At 37.3% G+C, this 24,060-nt stretch overlaps 1 protein-coding gene across 5 annotated transcripts in view, besides 1 other annotated feature; it reads right to left on the bottom strand.

The window, feature by feature from the left end:
- PTPRZ1 (protein tyrosine phosphatase receptor type Z1) overlaps positions 1–16,106 on the bottom strand; it is a 188,876-nt gene extending 172,770 nt beyond the window's left edge. For all 5 annotated transcript variants that reach the window (NM_001369396.1, NM_002851.3, NM_001369395.1 and 2 more), the window contains exon 1: positions 15,710–16,106. Coding sequence is in view for 4 of the 5 variants with exons in the window: in NM_002851.3 (NP_002842.2) it covers positions 15,710–15,767 (58 nt within the window). In the remaining variant the exon portion in view is untranslated. The remainder of the gene's footprint in view (positions 1–15,709) is intronic.
- Positions 15,649–16,150: an enhancer, noted in NCBI's record as "H3K27ac hESC enhancer chr7:121513171-121513672 (GRCh37/hg19 assembly coordinates)". NCBI's record gives its function as "activates a minimal SCP1, AML or CMV promoter by ChIP-STARR-seq in naive H9 embryonic stem cells {active_cell/tissue: H9 hESC(naive)}" and the evidence as "EXISTENCE:reporter gene assay evidence [ECO:0000049][PMID:30033119]".

The following is a 24,060-nucleotide window of genomic DNA, read 5'->3' as shown; positions in this document are numbered from 1 at the left end:
AGTAAATTTATCCTAATACAAAGACCATACATAGTTTTATGACTAATACCGTCTCCAAAGGACCATAACTACAATAGCTAAATTTTGTGCAAGGCTTCTCATACTGAAATGTTTGACTCAGGCCTCATTTTAAATACTTTTTTTAAAAAATAAAGCCTTTTGAAAGTGGGATGAAAGTATTCATTCTTAAAAATTAATTTTAAACCTATATAATTCCTTTCTGTGCTCATAATTTTAAAACTTCAATAATTTAATTCATTCCCTATATAATTGTGTTTTAAAACCTGATTTATCCAAATTAAGTCCTGCAGAAGCCTTAATCATTCCTTATAGCTATTTGCCAATTCTTCATTAGACCAAATATTGCTGCTTTTAGCTATTATGTAATAAAATAATGGATTTTAAGCTTTTAATAACATAGCTAATATTCTATCAAACATCACTATTTCAACAAGTAGTCTGTTTTTTAGTGTCTCTTAATTAACATCTGAGCACTGTAATTACTTTCCTCAGATGTGTTGTTTTCTCTTAATTATGTATTTCTTAAATTATAACAATTACATTTTGTCCTGGCATATTAAAACAAACATTTCAAAATAATTTCTTAAATCACCTATTATTCAATATTAGTCAAATTCACCCTAAGTTAAAAATAATGGCTATTCTTTCAGTGTAAGCAATCACATATTTTGGTGGATCCATTATCCTAATTCTAATTCTGACAGGGATAAGTGTTTTCTGAATTCGATTTTCCTATTGTTTTTCACAGAACTGGGCAGTTACAGAAGTTTGTGTAAATAATTTCCATTTGTCTATTAGTCTCATAAGTATTTCAGCCATCTTTTATTGAACATAACACTACCTTTGATAGTATTCCCCTAAACGTTTGCCCCATCTTGATAGACTTTTATTTTTCACAATCTATTTTTTTCACAGTCCCTTACTGTTTTACATGTCTTACTGGGGAGTCTTCATCTATACTCTAAACAATGTCAGCAGCCCAAAGAAGAGAAATTGATTCGATTCTTGACACAAAATGTATGGTCTCAGAATGTCACTCAAAACCCACCAAGCAGGGCAAGGCATAACTCTAATATTCCTACATTTTTTAAGACTTTGAAGCATCAAAAAACACTGTCTCTCGTTTCTAAGGAAAATAGGTTTTCCTCTACAAATCTTTTATGCTGCTCAAAAATTTTAAAGCATTCAATCCATGATAAAATGCTGACAATACAGCTATTGACAGCAACAGGTAACCAATGGCTGTAAAATATACAGTGCTTTCTCCAAGCTTGAATCAAACAGGATCTCACATATCTCAGATCTTGTTCTTGGTAGAAAGGGATAAAAGGAACTGAGAGAAATGCTCTTGGCTGGCACTAGCTGGGGTGTTGGGGGGATGAAGAGGTGTTAGCGAGAGGGATCCGGTATCTTTTTGTTTCATTAAAACCCCGGCTTGACAGGAAACACAGGGAAAACTTACCCATAGAAATGGTGCATCCGCTGTGCAGGCCAAAAAGTAGATTCTCCCACCGCTACTTAGAATAAAGAAACTTATAGTTCTCTTTCTCTCGTGTTTCTGGCTACAGTCATCTTTCTTCCCTTTTTCTGCATTCACTATTGTACTCTATTCCAATCACTTAATTTTCTTTCTTAAAACTCTGAATGCCATGAGTAAAAGCCCTTAGGAAGTTGTCCATGATTGTGTGCCAATTCAGTTCAAAATCTATATAGACTCTTGGACCTGTTAAAATGAGAATGTGATTTGATTGACCTACTTTCTGTTTACCTTTTTTTAAAATAAAAAAATTAAGAGAGATTGAGTGAATTTGAGGGTGAACTGAATTCTAATTCCAAATGCTGCAAATGTGATCTCGAGTTGCTTACTCTGCCAAATGGGGGTACAGAATTAGTTGAGGTGGTAGCAACGTTTAACATTTGATTAGGCAGAAATGATTGTATTTTCTATTTTTCAAGTGATCACTTTTGAAGTAATTTCACTCACTCATTTATGCCACAAATATTTACTGAGCACCTACTATATGAGCAAGAAGTCTTTAGAGCCCAGTGGCTATATCCCATGAGGAGACCAGACTCCTTGAAGATACAGTCATGGAAACAACAGACACGCAATGTGAGTGCTGTGCCATCATGGGTGAGATGATGTTTCCCTTCCTGTGGAAGGGGACAATGATGTGTTAGCACAGACAAAGTAAAAGACAACAGGAATGCATGGGGCCCAAATCCACCCCAAGACGAGGAAAAGATTGAGCCAAAGGGAAGGAGCACACGTGTGGAGATTCAAGTAAAGCTGGACAGGTAGCTTGAGTTCAGGTTTTGAAGCACTTTGCATGCCCTGGTAAGAGTATCACATGACATCAAAACTCAAAAGAACCTATAGGTCCTTTCCCCTGATGAGTAGAAAAAACATAAAATTTTGTTCATTATTTTCTCAAAGGTTTCCATGGATGGGGACCCTGGCATACCTGTATTGTGTTTTGTTATTAAAGTCAGTTGTAGAATTGCCTTCTGAGAATTACAGAAATACATTATGTAAAAGGAAAGTCCTAAGAATCCGATTCCTTAAATCATTTCAACAGTCATTGCTATAAACTTGCAAAAAGTCTCTTAACATTGGCCTTAGGCAATAATTTATGTCAAATAAGTAATAATTATAAAGTGTTTATTGAACAGTATATATCTTGGCAAGAAAGTAGGCTGGTGAAGATTTCCTACTCTGATAGTAGATGGGTTTGTTGTTATTTTTACGGCTGTGTGTGTGTGTGTGTGTGTGTGTGTGTGTTACATTTAATAGAGTGGAATGTTTCAGCTGTGTTTTTGATGAACTAACGTATGTGTTTGGGATTTTTAAGTGAATGAACAAGAACATATATGATATATAAAAAACTTTCCATTCTTTATTACTGAATACCAGATAAAGAACCTGTGAGGATTAATCAGTAGGAATTTAAACTCCAGTCTACAGATCCCAGGTAGGATTATATGTGCACATATTAATATTTTCTCACTGAAACTTCATAGTCTGGCATATTGAATTGTAACAGACTGCAATAATCAAGCATAATTACTTCCACACAAAAAAGTCTATATCAATCTTTTCTTGATGACCTATTTTCAGTGCATTTTCCCCAGTAGCGCAATCACCCAAACACATCTCCAGCAAACTGTGTACTACAGTCTCAAAGCCTCATGTTTTAAAAACCAGCACTCCCCTTGTATTTAAGAGTGAGAACTCATCGCATAAAGATACACTTCCTCTGCCAGTAGAAGACCCAACCCATGTCACCATAAAAGGGTTTATATGTCATTATCATTAGCAGAGAGACTATTTGGCTGAATATTTGATCTTTGCTTGCCTGAATGCCATCAAGTCTAATACAACTTAGACTCTTGTGATGTTTGTAAAAATTATAAGTGTTTTCTTCCCTCTCCAAATTGACAGATGCTATAGAATTCTAATTTTAAAATGTGAAGTAAAAGAGGATGTCTTGAAAAGCTCCTTCCAAATAGGGAATTGAAATACTTTCTTATGGGCATTTTGCCATTTTGGGGGTGGGGAAGGGTTGGTATAACATTTTGAATAATTTATTGAGAAACATGGAAGCATCTTGTGTTTTCTTGATTTCTTATGCCAAGAATACTGAATAGTTAAAAAGTAATGAGAAGTTAGGAGAAAATAAGCTGGACTCACAGGTAAGACAGAGGCATCATTGGATACATTCTTGTGGGATGGACGGTGCCCAGATGTGCTGTAATTTAAAGGATTTAATGGCAACATACACTAGCCACTCTTGGCTAATTAAATGTGATTTCACGCTTTATGCTTCTTTCACAGGGATCCATTTTTCAGACAGCATTGCCATCTACGTTCAAAATTCTCCAGAGTGGCCAAAAATCATATGCATCCTAAACATTCTTGGAAATTTTGGCACCAAGAGTTTACCTTTGTCGCAAAATAGCAGCTGCTACCACCAAAAATTAAGGCTCAAGTTGGGATAGACTTAACTGTGGAAATTATGTGACATTTTTCTAGTGGTTGGTGTTGAACAGAACATATAAGAAGAGTGTTTTAACATACACATTTTGCTTATATCTTTTCCTACTTACCCAATTATTTTGAATGTGATAAAGTGGAATGCTGGGGAACCCTAAATGCATTTTGGAGACAAAAACCAACAAACTTCCATATTCAAGCTTCTCCTTAACCAAATAACCTAAAGTGAGTAATACAGGCTTATTGTTATTTATTGTTATGTTTCTTGAATGTAGTAAAAATGACGGGGAGGGACACAAAGGAGGCTCGTAATACTGAATGCAACTGCAAATGGTCCATCCATGTTCAAAAGGAAGAAGTGCTGCTCACATGCTCAGAGACTTTTTTAAAAAAATGAATTCATGTCTTTGTGTTTCCTTGTTCTGAATTTCCACAGACTTAAAATCTCATCCAAATAGTCTAGCATTTACATTATTATTCTCTTTTCTGGTATGCTCCCACCAGGGTACAATTCATATCTGTAACCAGATTAACTCTTCAAAGACAAAAAGAATTTATTAAAAAAGACCAAGGAGAGTGTGGAGCACACAGTAAATGTTCAACAAACATGTGCTGAACTGAGTTTCACTGCTCTAACTGGGCCCAAACCCTTTGGAGAGGGCTGACAGTGTATTCAGGTCACAGGAAGAAGCGGCATTCTTTCTGTCCTTTATGTTGGAGGCAGGAAAATGTCAGGCTCAAAATACCCAGAATATATGCTACAATTAAACATAATGATGTTTCCAAAGGATGTAATCTTTTAACATTCAAAATAAAGCAGTATCAGTTTTTAGCAGCAGGAAAAAAAATGCATATATATGAAATATACACGTGCATTTGTGTATATATATGCACTTACATATATGCATTTATATGTGTCCTTATTTAGGTGTGTATATAGATGCATATATGCACATATACATATATGTTTCCATATAACATACTTATATAAATGTATTTATATATATAAACCATTACATGTCATTTCCCCACCTGAAAGCCATCAAAGGAAACTTTACAGTAACCAAATACTTCTATTGAAAATCGATTCAGTCATACTTTTAAAATAGACAAAAGTTTGGCATTCAACTCATATATAGCACAACTGTCTATATTTTTTCATTACATAAGGAAAAAATATGCTTACATTTCAGTCTTGACAGCTGCTGCCTTCTCTCTTTCCTAAACTTAGTAATTGATTAATTTACCAATTCATGTATCTTAATGTATCTTAAGAGACATAGAGTAAACAATCCTATGTATTTTTCATGAATTAAAGAAAAAGCTAGCCAGGCACAGTGGCTCACACCTGTAATCCCAGCACTTTGGGAGGCCGAGGAGGGTGGACCACCTGAGGTTGGGAGTTAGAGGCCACCCTGACCAATATGGAGAAACCCCATCTCTACTAAAAATACAAAATTAGCTGGGCATGGTGGCACATGCCTGTAATCCCAGATACTTGGGAGGCTGAGGCAGGAGACTCACTTGAACCCAGGAGGTGGAGGTTGCAGTGAGCCAAGATCGCACCATTGCACTCCAGCCTGGGCAACAAGAGTGAAACTCCGTCTCAAAAACAGCAACAACGAAAACTGCCAAAGTCAATTTTTAAACAAATTCTGAGAAGCCTAATCTATGCATTATTTTCCATTACACTATTTTTATATAAAATACAAGTTGTAAGCAATTTACAAAGATGCTAGTTTATGGACATAAATATGATGGCCTTCAAGTAATCTGAACTTGTGGTTAAGAAAGCCTGTGTACTGGCAGAATGCTGGCTGAAATGTCCCAATAGTACATGTGTTCACTGTAAAAATGACAAATACAAGGCTTTGAAAGGTGAATGAAGTAAGTAGTTTTCATATTGGCATTTGATAAGATTAACCTGAAACTATAAATATACTAAAATCCTCCTTTAAAAAAGTTTGCTTGTTTTAGTTAAGTTGTGACTCTAATCTCTAAAAAAAATAATCATTTTTAGCAGCACTATTTCCTCTTATTTCTACTCAAGGCACTGAGTTAATCTGTTCAGAGAAAATGTCTAGAGTCAATTACTGCCTTGTCTTAACAAATTTAAGAGTTTCACCATTCAATAAATAATCAGGTTTCAAGCGATCATCCTCTGTTTCTCTCTCTTCTTTCTTCCCTCCAAGTTATCAACTTCTGTGGACTTGTATGTATTTGCTACCTTCTCTTTTCCTTCCTGGATATTTCTCTGATTCCCTGTGTTCCATGCTACATCTTCACCTTCCCAGAGAAGACACTCCCTTAAGGATCACCAGTGACTCACTCCAGAGAATGGCACAATGTCCTACCAATTATACCAATTACATTCATATCAAGTGAGATAATGTATCTGAAAGTGCTTGTTAAACATTAAAGAATTCTATAAAGAGGATGATATTATTATATCCCAAATGATCTATAAATTTCCACTGTGACTGCCACCGTGTAAGAGGCTTTTAACCAAGCTTCCTGATTCCCTGTCTCCCTCGGCTTCAATCCATCCTATGCTCTGATACCTGAGTTATCTTCCTGAAATAAAGAGATCTATTCCAGTCATTTCACTGCTCAAAACCCTTTAGTAATTTCCCATTGTACAATGAGTAGATTTCAAACACAAAACTCTTCAATTGGCCATTGTAAATCCTACCTACCATTTGAGACCTTTTACTGTTATACTCCTCTCCCCACTGTCCCCTCCCTCCAATTACCACGTTCTCACTTTCAGTCCATGTTTCTCTGCATGCCAACCTTAATCCCTCTGATGCCTTCTGCTCCCATGGTGACCCCTGAAGCTCTATCCATTTATCCTGAATGGTCTATATCCAATCCCATCTCCTACTAGAAACCTTCTAAGAGGTGAATTTAAGACTAAATATATCTCCACACAGCTCACAGTCTCATATGCCAGAAACTCCATCATGTATGAGACCTACTTACGTATGCATCTTTCTATCTTGTAAAAGTTCAGCTGGCCATGAGAAGAATAGTCTCTCTGGAGGAATATTTATCCCAAGGAAGATGCTCAAAAATGATTCATTAAATTAATTTGTACTTGCATCATCACTAATAAGTATATTAAAGGAGTTATTTGAAACACCTAGAAAAGTTCATTGTTAATTTTTAAATGGAGTTATTGGTGCTTTTCAAATACAGTAAAAAGAAATAGCCTATACCTGATTAATAATTTCATAAAACACACAAATTGCTAAAATGAAAAAGCAATAGCTAAATCTTAATATTTATTTCATAACAGTAAACAAAAAGCCAAGTTCTAACAAATTATGCATGGAGAAAGAAAATAAATAACAGAGAACAAGAATATGTATCATTGATGAAATGAACGATATTATGTGCTTGTGTCTGGATAAATGTCACTTGGAGTCCCCATCTCGGAAGCTGGTTCATTTACCCTCCTACCAGCTGATAGACTTGAATCTTTGGACCCACTCCAAGACTGCCTGGCCTCCTAAAGTTTCCCTGGCTTTAAAAGACTATGAGGTCAATCACCATAGAGCATACTCCTCCTTCTAGGGTTACTCTGAAGCTGAAACTGCCTTAAGAAGAGAGAGAGAAGGGAAAATTTCCAGGACCTTTGTCTTGTGGCACTAGCTTTGTTTTAGGACAGCATAAGACCTGCAAATATCTCCACCTTAAGAAAAATGAACTAAGATTAGTAGTGTCATGAAGTTGGCCTAGATCTGTGGTTTCAGTCCCAGGCTGTGCTCTATAATCACCTGGAGAGTTTTAAGAAAATGTCCATGTCTGGGCTCAGCACCCATACATTATGAAGTACTTGATTTGATGCCCAGGCATCAGTATGATTTAAAAGTCTCCCAGGTGCATAGTCAGCTTGGGCTACTATAACAAAATACCATTTACTGGGTGGCTAACATAACAGACATTTATTTCTCACAGATATGGAGGCTGGGAAGTTTAAGATCAAAAGGCCAGCAGATTTGATTCCTGGCGAGGGCTCTCTTTCTGGATTGCAGATGGCTGCCTTCTTGCTGTGTCTTTACATGGTGAATAGAGAGAGGATTCTGGTCTTTTTCTCTTCTTATACAGACACTAAACCCATCAATGACAGCTTCACCCTCATGACCTAATTACCCTGCAAAGGCCCTGTCCCCAAATACGATCACAATGGCAGGTTAGGGCTTCAACATGAATTTTGGAGAGGACACAAACATTCAGTCCATAACACCAAGTAAGTTCAAAATGCAGCCAGGATTGAGAATTATCAACCTAGATAAATGGTTGTCAGCGTTTTTGTGCACTAAAACACACATGACAATAATATCCCACATGCTCCTCAAGGGTATCCTTATGCTCCTTTGGGCAGATCATGATTTTGCACAACTCTGTGTAGCAGCTGAGACAATACCACCTTGACATATCCTATTCAAGAAAATGTGTCAGAATGCAAGTGGGTAAAAATTTAATAATAGAAATAATTTTCAATCTGATGACAATATGAATAAAAACCATTAGAAAATCTAAAAACTTCCTTATATCTGGCCAGCATGTTCTAAGCATGTAATCAAGACTCTGTTTATTACCATGATCTCTGCTTAAAGGAGTCATTTTAAAAATCAATGTTTTATTTTATTCCTACTCAAGGTACTGAGTTAATCAGTTCAGAGAAAAGAGCTCATAGTGAGACCCATCCTTAGGTAAATACATTAGAGCTTTAGGATTCAAGAAATAGGCAGTTCAGTCAGTAACAGTGAAAAAGTAGAAAATTTATCCAGTAAGTGCTAAAGGGGAAGGCAGAGAGAGAGGGTAGAATGTTTCTCCAAGAGCAGGAAAATATCTGTATTCTCATCATAGTTATGGATATTCTAACAGAAAATCCTTCTTTCTTACTAATGAATAAATTATTTCCAAGTACCCAAGTACTACATTTCCAAGGAAACTTGTAAAAAAAACTATCCCCTGTTAGCATGCACATAAATTGACTTGTACTTATTGAATAAGGCCAAAAACTTCACATTAACCAGTACCCAAAATAACTGAGTTTACTTTAATATCTGTGGGCAAATATCAGAAGGGGAAAACAAAGACAATCAGCCCATTTTACCACACTGGAATATTTAGGCAAAAACATCTGCCAACTCATACTTTAAAAATTTTGTTAACTACAAAGACCCCCAAATGATATTAACACAGTAAAAATATTTTTAACTAATGGTTTCAAATAGCATTAATCTCTTCCCTATCAAACTTTTCATCAAGGTGCTGAGCAAACTTAAGTTTATTTAATTATCTTAAACTCATGCTAAAAGAAAGTGAAGCTGAAGAGGAAATAGCAACAAAAAAAGAAAAAGAAAAGAAGGAAGGATTAAAGGAATGAAGGATAAAAGGAGGAAGGGAGGGAAGAAGGGAGGAAAGGGGAAGGAAGGAAAAATAGAAGGAAGGAGGGAAAGAAAAAAGGAAGGGAGGAAGGTAGTTGAGAAGAAAATAAAGCAAATATCCTAACAAAAGATCATCTCCTTTTTTTCTGCTTTTGACTCCTATGAAGATTTTTAACTGATCCCATGTCCCATTCCATTTGAATTCAACTCAGTTCAAATATTTGCTATGTGCAGAGTTAAACTTGTGTAGCACATCCTCTCTAGGATTAATGATAAAACTATTGACAAACTCCAAAAGCACGTACATCCACATGATAAAACTGCACTTCCCATCATTTGCCTGGTTTTCAAAACTGTTTTGTGTCACTATCTCTTACGGCCTTCTTGACTAGAGAAGACTTAAACCAATATGATAGCTTTTGGCTGACTGAAAATACAGTGTTCATGGGCTCAAGATACTTTATTTACTCATTACTGACCATCCTGCATCCCTCATTGCCCTCTCCTCCCCAACACCAGAGCAGCACAGGCGCATGCACTTGTACACATACAAAGTGGCACACTAGCTGACTTGATGTTCTGGCCCCCTGGGATGTATCCAAAACTCATTGGTGCCAACTCCTCTAGAATTAAAAGCTCACTCAAGACTGCTTCTGTAAGTACACACTCAGTATCAATCACAGGAACTTTATTTTCCATGCACAGATAGTGTCTGGATCTATGTAATGCTTGTACAGGCATTAATCACATTCATGACAGCTCCAACCTCATAGAGGATGCCTATATGCTTACGTGTATTTCTGGGAGAATCAGTGAAAGTGAAGTTCGCGTACCAGAAGTGACATTAAAGATGGACAGGTCAAGGTGAATGCTGACCTTACTCCCGGACTGAGATCATAATCAAAAGAGGGAAAGACCAGTGAAAATTGGCCAGTCTCAACAACAAACAACTATTTTTTTTTCTAAGAAGCTTCATGGTACAATCTTTCTATAACCTTATACATTAAAGATTTATTGGCACCTACTGTAAGTGCTAAGTTCAAGAATGCAATGTTGACTGAATTTTTCATTGAATTCTTCAATGAATGAATTTAACAATGAATGAATGATGAATGTAAGAATGGATTCTTTACCCTCAAATAATGTGGTCGAGTCAAGGAGACAGATAAATTGAAAAACAATACAGTGGATAACAGAACAAATTATGGAAAATGTACTATGGGAGCAGAGCACTCACTCCCGAACCAGCAGTTAATCTCTTCTGTTCAACCTCAGTCCATAAAGGCTACAAAGTGGCCACTGAACTCTTTTCACCTATTACTGCTCTACCAAAGGCCCCATCATGTTTCTAGGATGTTTGCAGGCTAACACAACACAAACCATAACTAACTCACATGCACGAACACTTCAAACAATTTCAATGACTTTAGAAATTTTTCTAGTTGAGTTGATGACTCCTCATGAGTTCTATCAATCATTATTTTACCAGCGTTTTTTGTTGTTGTTCCAAAACAACACTGCCAGATGGAGATGTTCCATGTCTGCACTGTCCCATGTGATTGCCACTAGCCACACAGATTACTGAGCACTTGAAATGTGGATGGTGTGATTAGGGAACTGAATTGTTTTATTTTAATAAATTTTAAATTACATAGCTACATCTGCCTAGTGGCTATGGTATTAAACAGGACATTTCTAAAATACAAGTGTTTTAAGATTGTGCTATATGATATTTTTTCTTTCTTTAATTTCTTTAATTTCTTTAAACACAGAGAAAAATTGGTTTCCTTTTGTAATCTGAAGTTACTTCTAGGAATTAATCTCAATAAGACACTAAAAGTTGAAATACAATTTAAATGTATATATTTTATATATATATACACAAACACATATATATATATACACTTTTATGTATATGCATATATATACATTTATATATGTATATACACACATATCTCTCTCTTGTTTAAATTGGCTCTGACTTTTACCATTGGAATTCTTAATGGAGCAGGAAGCATTTTAAAGTATTTGAGAGTTAACATATTCAACACATTAAGAGATATTTGGAAAAGACTTATTTTCGACTAGTTGTGAACAGAAAAAGTATCTTTAAAACAAGATTTAAAGAAAGTTTTCATTGTGGGATTGAATCAGATTAACTGGGTTGTGAGCATCATGAGTTTAAGTCTCTGTATGTTGATGCATAGCTGAATTATCAGCGCCTAGCATGGTGCCTTGCAGATGTCGGGCACTTAGTGAACATCTAGTGAATGAGTAGTTAAAGTAGCATGGCTGGAACGATTCTGTATCTGGATCACAGTGATTGCTACATGACCATATGCATCGGTGAAAACTTTCAAGATGGTAAAAATGTAAATTATGCCTTAATTTTCAAAAAAGGATAAAAAAGTAATACAAGAGTACATGGGCAAAATCATGAAAGGGATCCTCAGAAAAGCAAATGGGACTGTGAAATGTACCATCACATCACATGAAAGCAAGCTAGTGAATGCCAAACAGCAAATTGATCCTGGGAATGAAAAGAGGAAAAGCCTCAGGCTCTGGATTGGGAAGGAATACACAGGCTGAATCAGGATTTGTGATGTTAGGCAACTTATCTGAGTTCTCTGTGCCGGGTTCCCTCATTTGTAAAAGGTGTAAGATGAAAACACCAATATCAAAGGGTTTTGAGGAGAATGAAATGAGAAAATGTACATAAAATGCTCAGTGCTGAAACTGCACCTAGTAGACACTTGAGCAGATGGTAACTGAAAATGAAACACAGGCTCATCTTCTTAATTATGCCTTCCTTTGAGATCTTCTGGTCCTGACTGAGGGGGTTCCATTTCCATGCAACAGTCTGAACGGTCAGCAAATGGGTGGTCAAGCAAATCTCTCACTTTAGACAGTACTCAAATCTTTTCGGAGTTAAAGGGAATGAGAAAACGCAGCTTATGCTTCCAGAAAAACCTGAATTTTTGCCAGAAGCAAAATTCCCACAACATAAAATTTTAAGCAAGATCTTGAATCTCTAGTGCAGACATGAGAGTAGAAATGAATTCATCAATGAAATGATTTCTCCTGGCAAACTTCCCTGACTGGAAGCAACCACAGTATACGTAAAAAGGAGAGAGAAATGAAATAAAGAAAATTGCAACTCTGCAATGAAAAGGAATTAATTTTCTGAATAGAGGCTAGTTATTATTTGGGAAAAAGGCATGAATATTTTTTATATGTGGTTACAATTTGTTTTCAGAGGATAAATAGATCAAACTGAGAGTCACAACATATTGAATTTCAGACTCTATAACCAGCATAAATTAAGAAGTTAATTCTTCCAGAGGAGTTGGGTATAATTTATTGTTAATGTGGCTCTTAAAGCAGTAAGATGTGACTGAGAAGTACAGAATCTGATTCATTACATATTTAATAATAATACTTAAACATTTGAACTTAGTGTACCTTGCAGCACTATAATTCACTTAATTCAAAGATCCTGAATTCCTTCATTAATTGGAAGAAATTATTCCTTAAAAGCTCTTAAAATATCTACCTCTCCTCTATGACTCATAGTTAAGCCTCCTTACAGGAAAGCCACTGTAGTTTTTCCCATAAGATACACCTGTTCAGTGGGTCAAGAAAAATTTGTTTTGGTTCATGTATTCTGATAAATTTTTTGTCTGGAAAGTTATTTGAAAGAAGCAGTTGGTCTATTATGTCCAGTTCAAAACATCAGGACATTTTAGATACAAAATGATCTGATCTGATCACTAAGACATTCTTAATTGCCAATAATCAATATCTTAGTGAACTCTACAACTTGTTCCTGGATAATGGTAAGAATGACAGCCTAATGTTCAAATTGTATTGAGCTCTTCTCCTGTACAGCAAGTTTTAGTCAGTTGACAGACCCTTACTGAGCACTTAATACATATGTCAGGCTACCTCATTGGCTCTAAGAACACTGAAGATGAGGGGTAAACGCATCCACAAACACTGAAGTAGGTGCTGAGTGAAAAATAATTGAAATGGAGCCTAACTTTTTCATTTGAAGATAATGTGCCTCACTTTTTCAAAACATGCTGCCCCAAGATCAAGATATTTATGTTACTTGATGTTGCCAATGCCTCCAGGTCAGCCTGTTGGCAACTGTGTAAAAGGCCAACTTTGTTAAAATGGTGAGGAATACAAAAGTAGTCACCTTCCAGTCTCAACAAAACTCACTTGGAGTTCCAATGCAAGCTTACATTCAGTAGCATTACATAAGCTTGTGATAGTCTTTAAAAGTTAATTAAATTCTTTACACTTAAATTTTACATCACCAAAGACTTAAAGAAAATGTCCAACAAACTGAAAACTATACAACCAAAAATAGGCTACAAATAATGCTTTACAGAGAAAAACCTTTGCAAATGTGATATATTTAGTATATTGGCATAATGGAATATTACTCAGCCACAAAAAGGAATGAAGTACTTATACATACTATAACATGGATGAAACTGAAAACATTATGCCAAGTGAACAAAGACAGACAGAAAAGGCCACAAGTTGCATGATTCTATTTATATGAAATGTCCAGGATAGGCAAATTTATAGAGACAGAAAGTAGATTAGTGGTTGCTAGGAGCTGGGGTCATGGAGAATGGGGAATGGCTGCTAAGGAACATGGGGTTTCTTTTTGGGGTCATTAAAACATTCTGGAATTAGTGGTGATGGCTGCACAACTTCACGAATATATTAAAAACCACTGGACCATTTTAAAAAGATGAATTGTATAATGTGTGAATTTTATCTTTTTTTTTTTTTCAAAGAGATCCGCAACATGCTCTGGGCATGTGGTTTTGAAGACATACAAAGCAATACTCTCTGGTTTATTTCCTTGCTACTGTGATATTTACTTACATAATTTAATTACTAAGAGGACCTGCCTTCTTTGTTAAAATAGATCTACAATAGAAATGTGAATTCAACAGATGTTTGATGACCACGTACTTTTTAAAGCTGTCTTCCCCTCTCCAGAACTGACTATAAGGTTTTAGAATCAATGGAGACCAGAGATTCCCTTGCATGTCTTATGTGTCAACTATGCATCACACCACCCCAAGCACTTTCATAAAGCCTTTGAAATTTAAATTATGTCCGTGTGTGGGGGTCTATGGGCAATTATCACCGTATTTGCAATGTAATTTTCATTTATTAGAACTTAAAAATAGTTTCTGTTTGTAAAGGTTACTGTGCCAAGAGCAGCACCATCTATTGGATGAAAATGTACGCTTAATATCTACTCTACTATGAACCATCTAAAATTGAAAAATTGGGAGCCTCTGAAAAGAATTAAATATGTGTACTCACAAAGCGAAGTACAACACTTTGTAACTTTCAGGTTAATGCGTAAACCCATTATATTCTATCGCGATGGAAAATCATGAAGGAAAAAAAGCATTTCTTTAATAAAACGCAAAAGTCCAATCTTGCACTTCTCGAAAATGACTGGAAAACTTGAGTCTGCATCGCAGGTAAAGGGAATGCTTAAACTGGCTATTGCTGAATGCAATTTCAGTTTTAAATGTAACCTGGAGGGTGCAGATGAAAAATGAAATCTGTGAATAAGTATATCAACCTGCAGCTCTCCTCTGACTTTGGCAGCACTGACCAAACCTAGAGATTTAGATGGAACTTTTTTTTTTGTAAGTAATTGCGCAGACTTGAATATGACTAAATTGAAAGTAATAAAAAAAACCCTGAAAAGTCAGGTTGGTGCTTGTGCCTGTTACTACCTTTCAGGTGTGTGTGTGTGTGTGTGTGTGTGTCTGCAATTCACACCAGACACGTGTACTTTCCATTTAAGCCCATCATACCTATAGCATAAAAATGAACAGCAAAAAAGACAGTACAGTACACAGCCCCGCACCACAGCTGTATTTCTGGTCATTTATCTTCCTATGTATATCTAAAAGGCGATTTCTACACTTTGCAAAAGAGGAGAGAAGAACGGTGGCGGCAGGGATCCGAGTAGCCCTCCGTCTCCAGTAGCTCCGTCTCCTGGGGCCCGGGGCACGAATGCCCGCGGGCCGATGGAAGGGGCGAGGGCGCGGGGCGGGGAGGGGGCGCGCAAATCCCACGCAGCTGCCTGCACCGCGCGGCCGCCCGCTCCGTGGGAGCCCAGTTGGCTGTCCCTTTTTCCTCCTGGCTAGATGGCGGCGGCGGCGGCAAGTCGCGGACACGCTGAAATGCTCCCACCCTCATCCCACCGATCCCGGAGCTGAAACCCCACCGAGCTCTTCTCACTCACCCAGGCGGCAAACACAGAGGAGCTGAATGCAAGCGAGGAAACGCTTTAGGATTCGCATTTCCAGACGGTCTGCGGCCCCTCGCCGTGCGGCTCCTCTGCTTCTCAGAGTGGAGAGGGAGGGGGAGCGAAGGAAATGTTTTTTTTGTTTGTTTGTTTTAATCCTCCAGTGTATAGATCGAAGTGAGATCGTGCGTGCGTATGTGTGTTTGTGTGTGTGTGTGTGTGTGTGAGAGAGAGAGAGACAGAGACAGAGACAGAGAGAGACAGTCAGAGACAGCGAGAGAGGAATAATCTGGAGAAAGCCGCACGGTGGTGGGGCCCGGGGCCGCTAGCCGAGGCGCATGTCCTCCGGCGTGCGGGACTTTGCCTCTTTCGCCGGCTGCGGCGGCCGCGGTCTGAGCGCTCCGAGAGCAGCGAAGCCTCAGTGCCGGGTGCGCGCTCCAGCCCGGCTGTGCGCGCCGCGGCTCCTGGAGGGGGCGGGGGCGCAGGACCGCTCCGCTGGGAGCGTGCCTCGGACCCGGGGTCGCGCGGGGGGCGGAGGGGCGCGGCTGCCGCTCTGGGTCCGGATCCCAGGGTAGCAATTCACACACCGACAATCCTCCCTCTGTCCGCTGCCAGTGGTTTCGCTGCCCTGGAGTTAGAGGGATCCGCTGGGGTTTCCAGTGTTCGCAGAACATTGGAACTCCTTCATCACTTCGGAAGGGAAGGGAAGGGAAGGCCGGACACCCATTGTCCCGCACAGCCAGAGGTTGACCTTTGAGTTTCACCTCTAAGAGTTTTTTTCATTTTATTGTTTTCTGCAGATGCTTAAGTGGGTCCAATCAGAATGCGGTGGGGGCGCCTGGGTACATTGTTTCCCTCCCTTTTTTCTTTCCATTTTCCTAATAAAGCAGTAGACCCCATTGCCTTTGGGAGAGTTGACTCCAAAAAATCTCCAGCCCTGATTGTGACCAGTCTGACCCTGCCCTTTCCCTAGACCCCAACGAAACTGCCGTGCTGGGCACAGCTGTCTGGGGGGACTTTCAACACGGCGGTGGTCCTGCCAGACCGAACCACACAAGTGCCTCCTCCCACAGGGTCGAACGGGAAGATTTTTTATTGCTTGATTGAAGGGTATGCAAAAAATGTATAATGCATACCTTCTGCTGCCTTAGAGCTGGAAATGTCACCCTCATGTGCTCTTTTCTTTGGTGGTGTTCAGAATTAGACTGTGAGCGCCTTGATGGCAGGGAGTTTACCTTTATTACTATAACCCCAGATCCTAGCAAAATGGCCTTAAAAAAAATCAATAGGTGTTCCCTGAATATTTGTTGAATTAATTTGAAGCCAAAAGGAAATAATGAGAAGGTAATTGGTGGTAGTCTCTACACTGAAAATTTATGAGATTTTCATTTATATGATATCCTTTAACTATTAGTACATGTTTTTCGTATATGAGACCCACTTTAGAGCCTTTTAGGAGTCCCATCTAAGGCACAGAAAGCCAAGTTGTGGAATTATCCCATGTATTCTTAGTAACAATTTGAAGTAGGTATCTGTACAGTGTATACTCTTGTGTCCTGTTCTTGTCTCAAAAATAGTATTCTAGCTTTAAAAATTTTAAAGAAAACTTCCTGCACATAAAATTGGGTTCTGAATGTATTTCAAGTGTTACTACGAGTTCTTGCTAATATCCCAGCCTGTGAACATTTGGCTAAATGTGCAAGCTAATGGCAGTTTGCTGTTGCTTCAGGAATAGATTATAGTCATGTAATAACAGATTTTGAAACCATTTAGTGTTTATTCAGAAACACATATCAATATTAAGAAGTTGATCCTTGATCTTATTCTTTCCATGAACAGAAATAGAAATGCTACAACTTTTACAAGAATTATGATGGGGATTGATGGCTGCTCATGTGAGTTTCCATATAGGAAGAAAATTTGGGGGCCATTTTTTTTTGCTAGCATTACAAGAAGTATGCAGGTGTATAAACTGACTGTGCACTGAGAGTTCAGAGAAAGTTTTATTTAATATTGACTGGAGTAGGCAGGAAAGCTTTCCTAGAGATGTGTAGTTAAACAAGAAGGACTAGCAGGGAAAAAAACCATGTCAAAGGCAGTGAGGACAGGAAGGAAAGAAGCAGATGTCATATGCCATTAAAAAAACAGTGTGAATTACATTTGAGCAGATTGAGTGGGGTCAGACTGTGACAAACATTGATTTCCCAGTGGAGCAGCTTATATGTGAAATACAACACAGGAGGGACCACAAAAGAAACTCCTAAGAACTTCTGCTATTTAGGGGAAGCTTGGTTTGCTTAGGGGAATTATGGTGTTCCAGTAGGTTCCAATTATCAAGGATACCCCAGTAGCCTGCAAGAATAATCCAACAACCACCATAACCCTGAGTTTTCTCTTACTGGACAAAAAAATCACATCACTTGTCAATCTTTTGAATTAGATCACCAAACAACAACACTGTTGAAATAAATTTCCCTAGTAAAAAGGGAAGGGGAATATGTGATTTCTGCTAATTTTGTTCTCATAGTTAATATTACTGTCATTCCCTGGGAAGGCACAAAAGCCACCTGGAGGGAGTAGTCATGTTGCTATTGAGGTTTGTATGGGATTCAGGATAGAGGCCAATTCTGTGAGACTGAATGACAGCTGTGGGAAACTGACTGGAGGACCAGTGAATGTGGTTCTGATGATCTCTGGGAGGGATGATGGAGTAGGAGGTTGAGGTCCTTGGAATATAGGTCACTGTAACAGCCAAGGCATGGGAGAAGAGAAGGCATCAGCAGAGCAGAAACATCAAAAATGTACTGTATCTCACAGTTCACAGTGTTACTGGGGTCATAGTCATTTCTGAGACATGGTACCTGATTAATGTGCATTAGCCATTGTGAGTTAAAGTTATGAACTTGCAAAACCACACACCTTCATTCAGAGTATACATATATATATAAATTTATGTATACATGTATTCAGAGAGAATATATGTAGAAAAACAGAGACAGAACAGAAAGAGGCAGAGACAGAGACAAACAGAACCTATATCTAAAACATTAGCTTGGTAAACTAGGTACATTTTATCCTCACCTACATACCATCCTGGAGCATTTTGTAAATCCAAACTCATGTATAAGCCAAAGCTCTGGGAGTCTTATCACTCTCAATAAATATAATATACTGTTTCATATGAACAGTTTAAACAAAGAGATGAGAAGAGATTATATTAGTTGAACCTACAAGGAAAAGGAATATTTCTGGAGGTAGATAGCGGTTGCATAATGGAAGATTTGACAAAAATTTCAAAACTCAAGAGTTTTCTAAAAGAGAACAAATTTGAGGGTCTTTAAAATTTGTTCTTTACATTCAGTTTTTCATTTAATACAATTCTGTTGTGTGTGTTCATTATGTATCACACACTGATGCATAACGAATTATTTCATCTCTGCCATAAAGGGACTCACATTCTAATAGGAGAGAAAAGCATCACTACTAAAATGTCTCTGCATAGTATTGCCTGATAAAAGAGAGGATGCCCAGTGAAATTTGAATTTCAGACACACAATAAATAATTTTTATATACTCTCATGCAATATTTGGGACATTCTTATATTTAAAAAAATTAATGTTTATCTGAAACCCAAGTTTAACTAGTTGCTCTGTATTTTTATTAGCAAAATCTGGCAATCTATTTTGTTGTGTCTGAGAATTTTCTAATATCAGGGTTGGTCACTTGTGATTATAAAATGTCCATAGTTTTCCATAAGTTTCCTTACTCTACAAATTATTTCCAAAGTGTCCCTAACATAAATATAGGTAGATGGAAATGGGGAAAAGGAGATGTTAACTTTGCAGAATCTGTTTGACTTAAATTTGGTGGAAGTGCTTCTTACAACACTTCCATGTTATAACACAGTGACTATAGAATATTGTATAGTCACTGAATAAACTATGAAATTAAATGGGAAGTGAAATATCTGTTTTTCTTATAACAATAAATTGTTTATGTTAGGCTCACATACATTTTTGCTCATTTTTATCCATTGTCATTGAAAAATCTATTTGAACAGATGTTAAATACGAACAGAAGTCACTGAATTGAATCAAATGTTTACAAACTGAGAAAGTCATAGTTATTTCTTTTGAAGTAAAATACAGCTTTGGTAATTATAAGGTGTTTGTCAGAAATAGATCTCATTTTACATGGAACAATGTATTTTAGACTATGAGGCTAGATTTATCTTGTGTTTTACACCTTAAAAATTTTGTTCACATCTGATTGACACAATGACATCTACTTAGTATTCTTGTAATGTGAAATTTCTGAAAACATTAAAGACTAATTTTACTTCCTGTAGCATAGACAAATCTTTTATTTGGATTTGTCCTACTAGAACTTTCTGCTTAAAAAGCAGTTCATTCCTACCTGCCTGAGCTTTGCATCTTTGTTCCTAGTGGCCCAGATGGCCTGTTATTGCATTTTTCCAGTATCAGGCATAAAACAAGTAGGAGGGTCCTCACTGATAGCTCCAGAGCTAAGAGTGATGTGGCACCCTGAGTCCATCTGAAGGAGGCATAATTATGTTTGATAGGAAAACCACAGCATGTTACATTCTTAGCCTTTTAGTATCTTGTCAGGATTGACTGTAAAGTAATTTAAACCTGTTATATTCAAGAATTCAGTGAGAACATTATATTAAAAAACACAAAAAGGTAGGAATCATTTTTTCCATTTCAGGAATATTTGATACAGTACAAGATTCAAGATAATTCTTTCTCATCGTATCAGTAGAATAATATTATTCTGTATTTTGTATATTTTCAATGAAACAGTGGTTATAAAAGATAATCATAAACTTTGAAAATTACTTCTGGATGAATATTACTTAGATTTCAGTTTTTTCTCCCTTAAAAAGAAAACATGTCATCATGGCAAAGATCTTGGGTTTATTCTAAGTTCACTCAGGCAGCTAAAACAAAATACTAGTCTGAGTGGCTTATAATTAGGAATCTATTTCTCACTGTTCTGGAGGCTGAGAAGTACAAGATCAAGAAATTGTTAGATTTGGTGTCTGATGAGGGCCAAATTCCTGGATCATGGATGGCCATCTTCTTGCAAGAATCTCATGTGTTCAAGCGGCAAGGCAGTTCTCTGGAGCCCCTTGTATGAGACATTAATCCTATTCACGAGGGCTCCACCCTCATGACCTAATTATCTCCCAAAGGGCCCACCTCCAAATACCACTGCAATGGGGATTAGGTTTCAACATATGAATTTTGGAGGAAGGACAAATATTCAGCCTGTAGAAGCCCTCCCAAACACAGGATTTGTTAAAATCCTATCTTGAATTGAAAATTTTCATTTGTTGTATGGATAAGCTCATTTGTGTATTTCTTAAAATTAAGGATATTAAGGTTTTTTTGAGGCTCTATATTGAACTAAACTGTTTAATTGATTGACTCATTTTTAAATATTTTGATTCTTTTCAATAGACTTATTTTTTAGAGCAGTTTTTGGTTCACAGCAAAATTGAATGGAAAGTACAGACTATTCCTGTACCTCCTGCCCCAAGACATGCATAACATGCATGGCCTCCCCTCAATCATCAATATCCCACATCAAAGTGGTACATTTGTTACCACGGATGAAGCTACGTGGACACATCATTGTTACCCCAAATGTATAGTTCACATTAGGATTCAACCTTGGTGTTGTGCATTCTATGAGTTTTAACAAAAGTAACATGACATGTATCCACCACTATATTATCACAGAATAGTGTCCTAAAAATCCTCTGTGCTTTGCCTATTCATCCTGCCCTCCTACCTGACAACTACTGATCTTCTTACCATCTTCATAGTTTTGCCTTTTCTGGAATGTTATATAGTCAGAATCATACAATATACAGCCCTTCAAAATCAGCTTTTTTTTTTTTTTTTTTTTTTTTTTTTTTTTTTTGAGACGGAGTCTCGCTCTGTCGCCCAGGCTGGAGCGCAGTGGCGCAGTCGCGGCTCACTGCAAGCTCCGCCTCCCGGCTTCACACCATTCTCCTGCCTCAGCCTCCCGAGTAGCTGGGACTACAGACGCCTGCCACCACGCCCAGCTAATTTTTTGTATTTTTAGTAGAGACGGGGTTTCACCGCCTTAGCCAGGATGGTCCGATCTCCTGACTTCGTGATCTGCCCGCCTCGGCCTCCCAAAGTGCTGAGATTACAGGCGTGAGCCACCACGCCCGGCTAAAATCAGCTTCTTTCTTAATAAGAAGTTATGGTTCCTCCATGTCTTTTTATGGCTTGATAGTTCATTTCTTTTCAATGCTGAATAATATTCCATTGTCTAGATGTAGTACAGTTTGTCTATTCACCTACTGAAGGACATGTTGGTTGCTTCTAATTTTGGCTGTGATAAATAAAACTGTTATAAACATCTGTATTCAGGTTTTTGTGTGAGCATAAATTTTCAGCTCATTGGGGAAATACGAAGGAGCTTGATTGCTGGATCATATTATAAGAATCTGTTTAGTATTATAAGAAACTGCCATTTTTTAAGTGGCCGTACCATTTTGCATTCCCACCAGCAATGAACGAAGGTTTCTTTTGCTCCACATCTTCATCAGCATTTGGTATTCTCAGTGTTTTGGATTTTGACTCTTTTAATAGATATGTTGTAGTAGTATCTCATCATTGTTTTGATTTGCAGTTTGCTAATGAATTATGATCTTGAGCATCTTTACATATGCTTATTTGCCATCTGTATGTCTTCTTTAGTGAGGTGTCTGTTCAGGCTTTTTGCGCATTTTAAAATCAGGTTTTATATTTTGGGTTTGTTTTTTTATCTTTTCATTTTGAACTAATTTCAGACTTACTGAAAAGTTGTAGAACTAGCACAAAGAAATTCTGTATACCCTTTATCCATACTCTCCAATTAATATTTTACCTTTGTTATTCTCTCTACTCTGTTCTTTCTTCATTCTGTATGTCTATGCCTATATCTATCTCTCTAACCACATATCTATCTATCTATCTATCTATCTATCTATCTATCTATCTATCCATCCATTCATCTGTATCTATAGCTATAAACTTAAAAGACCTTCTTGGCAAAGTAATTGGATTCATTTAACCTTCTTCACCAACCACTCCTCAGGCTGTTGTTCTTCGGTGGCTTCTTGATCTTATCAAAGAAGCTTTTGTTGATTCTAGAATGTTTATTGAAAACCCAATTTATAATCACTTAGAAGAGGAATTAATTATTATTAGGAACCATCTTGGGTTATTTAAGGATAAGCCTTACTAGAGTCATATTGCTTCCTTAGAAAAGTTGCTCTTAATCTTTAAGATGTTTATTCTCAGGTACAAATCCCGTTCTCCAACTCCCATTCATCTTGTTTCTGGCTGTGTCCCTCTTGGATAAAACTTTGCACCCGCCTTCCTACTGAATGTGCTGCCATTAGTCTTTCTATGTTTTAGTCCATGCCCAATACCAGAGTAATCTTTATAAAATGAGTATCTAATATGGAATATACACCAGTAAATAGGGACCAGCGTTAGTAATTGTTTCCAGAGATTCAAAAGTAGTACCCAAGGAGAATTAATCTGATTCTATAGTGGGAGCTTTTATTTGAGGAGATTATGTAAGTCAGCAGTATGCTATATTATTCATTATCGGTTGTGTCAAGATAAGTATTCGTCGTACTGATAGAATTGTATATTTTAGAATAGGAGAAGTGATTCCTCTTCTACATTATGCTGGTCCTGAGCTAGCGATGATATTTCAACACGGGCACAACTTGCTCCCTTCTCTTTGCCCCACCACCACCTTTATTATAGATCATGATGGAAGAATCATATTTTTCTTCTCTCCAAACACCCCTGATCTTAACTTCATTATTGAAATAACTTGCAAGGCAATATATCCTCAAATTTGTATGAAATTACAAAGATCCATATGACCAAATATAGGTTTATTGCTAATTTCATTTATTTGCCATTTAAAGATTAAAAAAAAAACCCTTCTGCCTATTATATCAGAGACAAACATGAGATTTAAAGTCTTTCTACAAGCTTAATTTAAACATCAATATCTGCCTGCTCACTAGGCCTTTGAAAAATGTCCAGGATATTTTAGATTAGAAAGTAAATGTATAAAACAAGATCTATAAATTAAAGAATCAGCACTGGATGGGGTCACTGGAATGAGTTGCTCTATTTCAGATTACAGACATTTCTGATAAATGGTCATTTTGCTGTTTTGTTTTTTGTTTTTGTTTTTTTGCCTATCTCCAAGCAAAAATAATTCACAATCACCCTAGATGATCCACTATATTTTTGACCATATTAAAAACCATTCACCTTTA

The sequence above is a fragment of the Homo sapiens genome, chromosome 7 (assembly GCF_000001405.40).
Source record: "Homo sapiens chromosome 7, GRCh38.p14 Primary Assembly".
Lineage (NCBI taxonomy): Eukaryota > Metazoa > Chordata > Mammalia > Primates > Hominidae > Homo > Homo sapiens.
The sequence above is the reverse complement of the archived record's forward strand: the minus strand, read 5'-3'. Positions and strand labels throughout refer to the sequence as shown.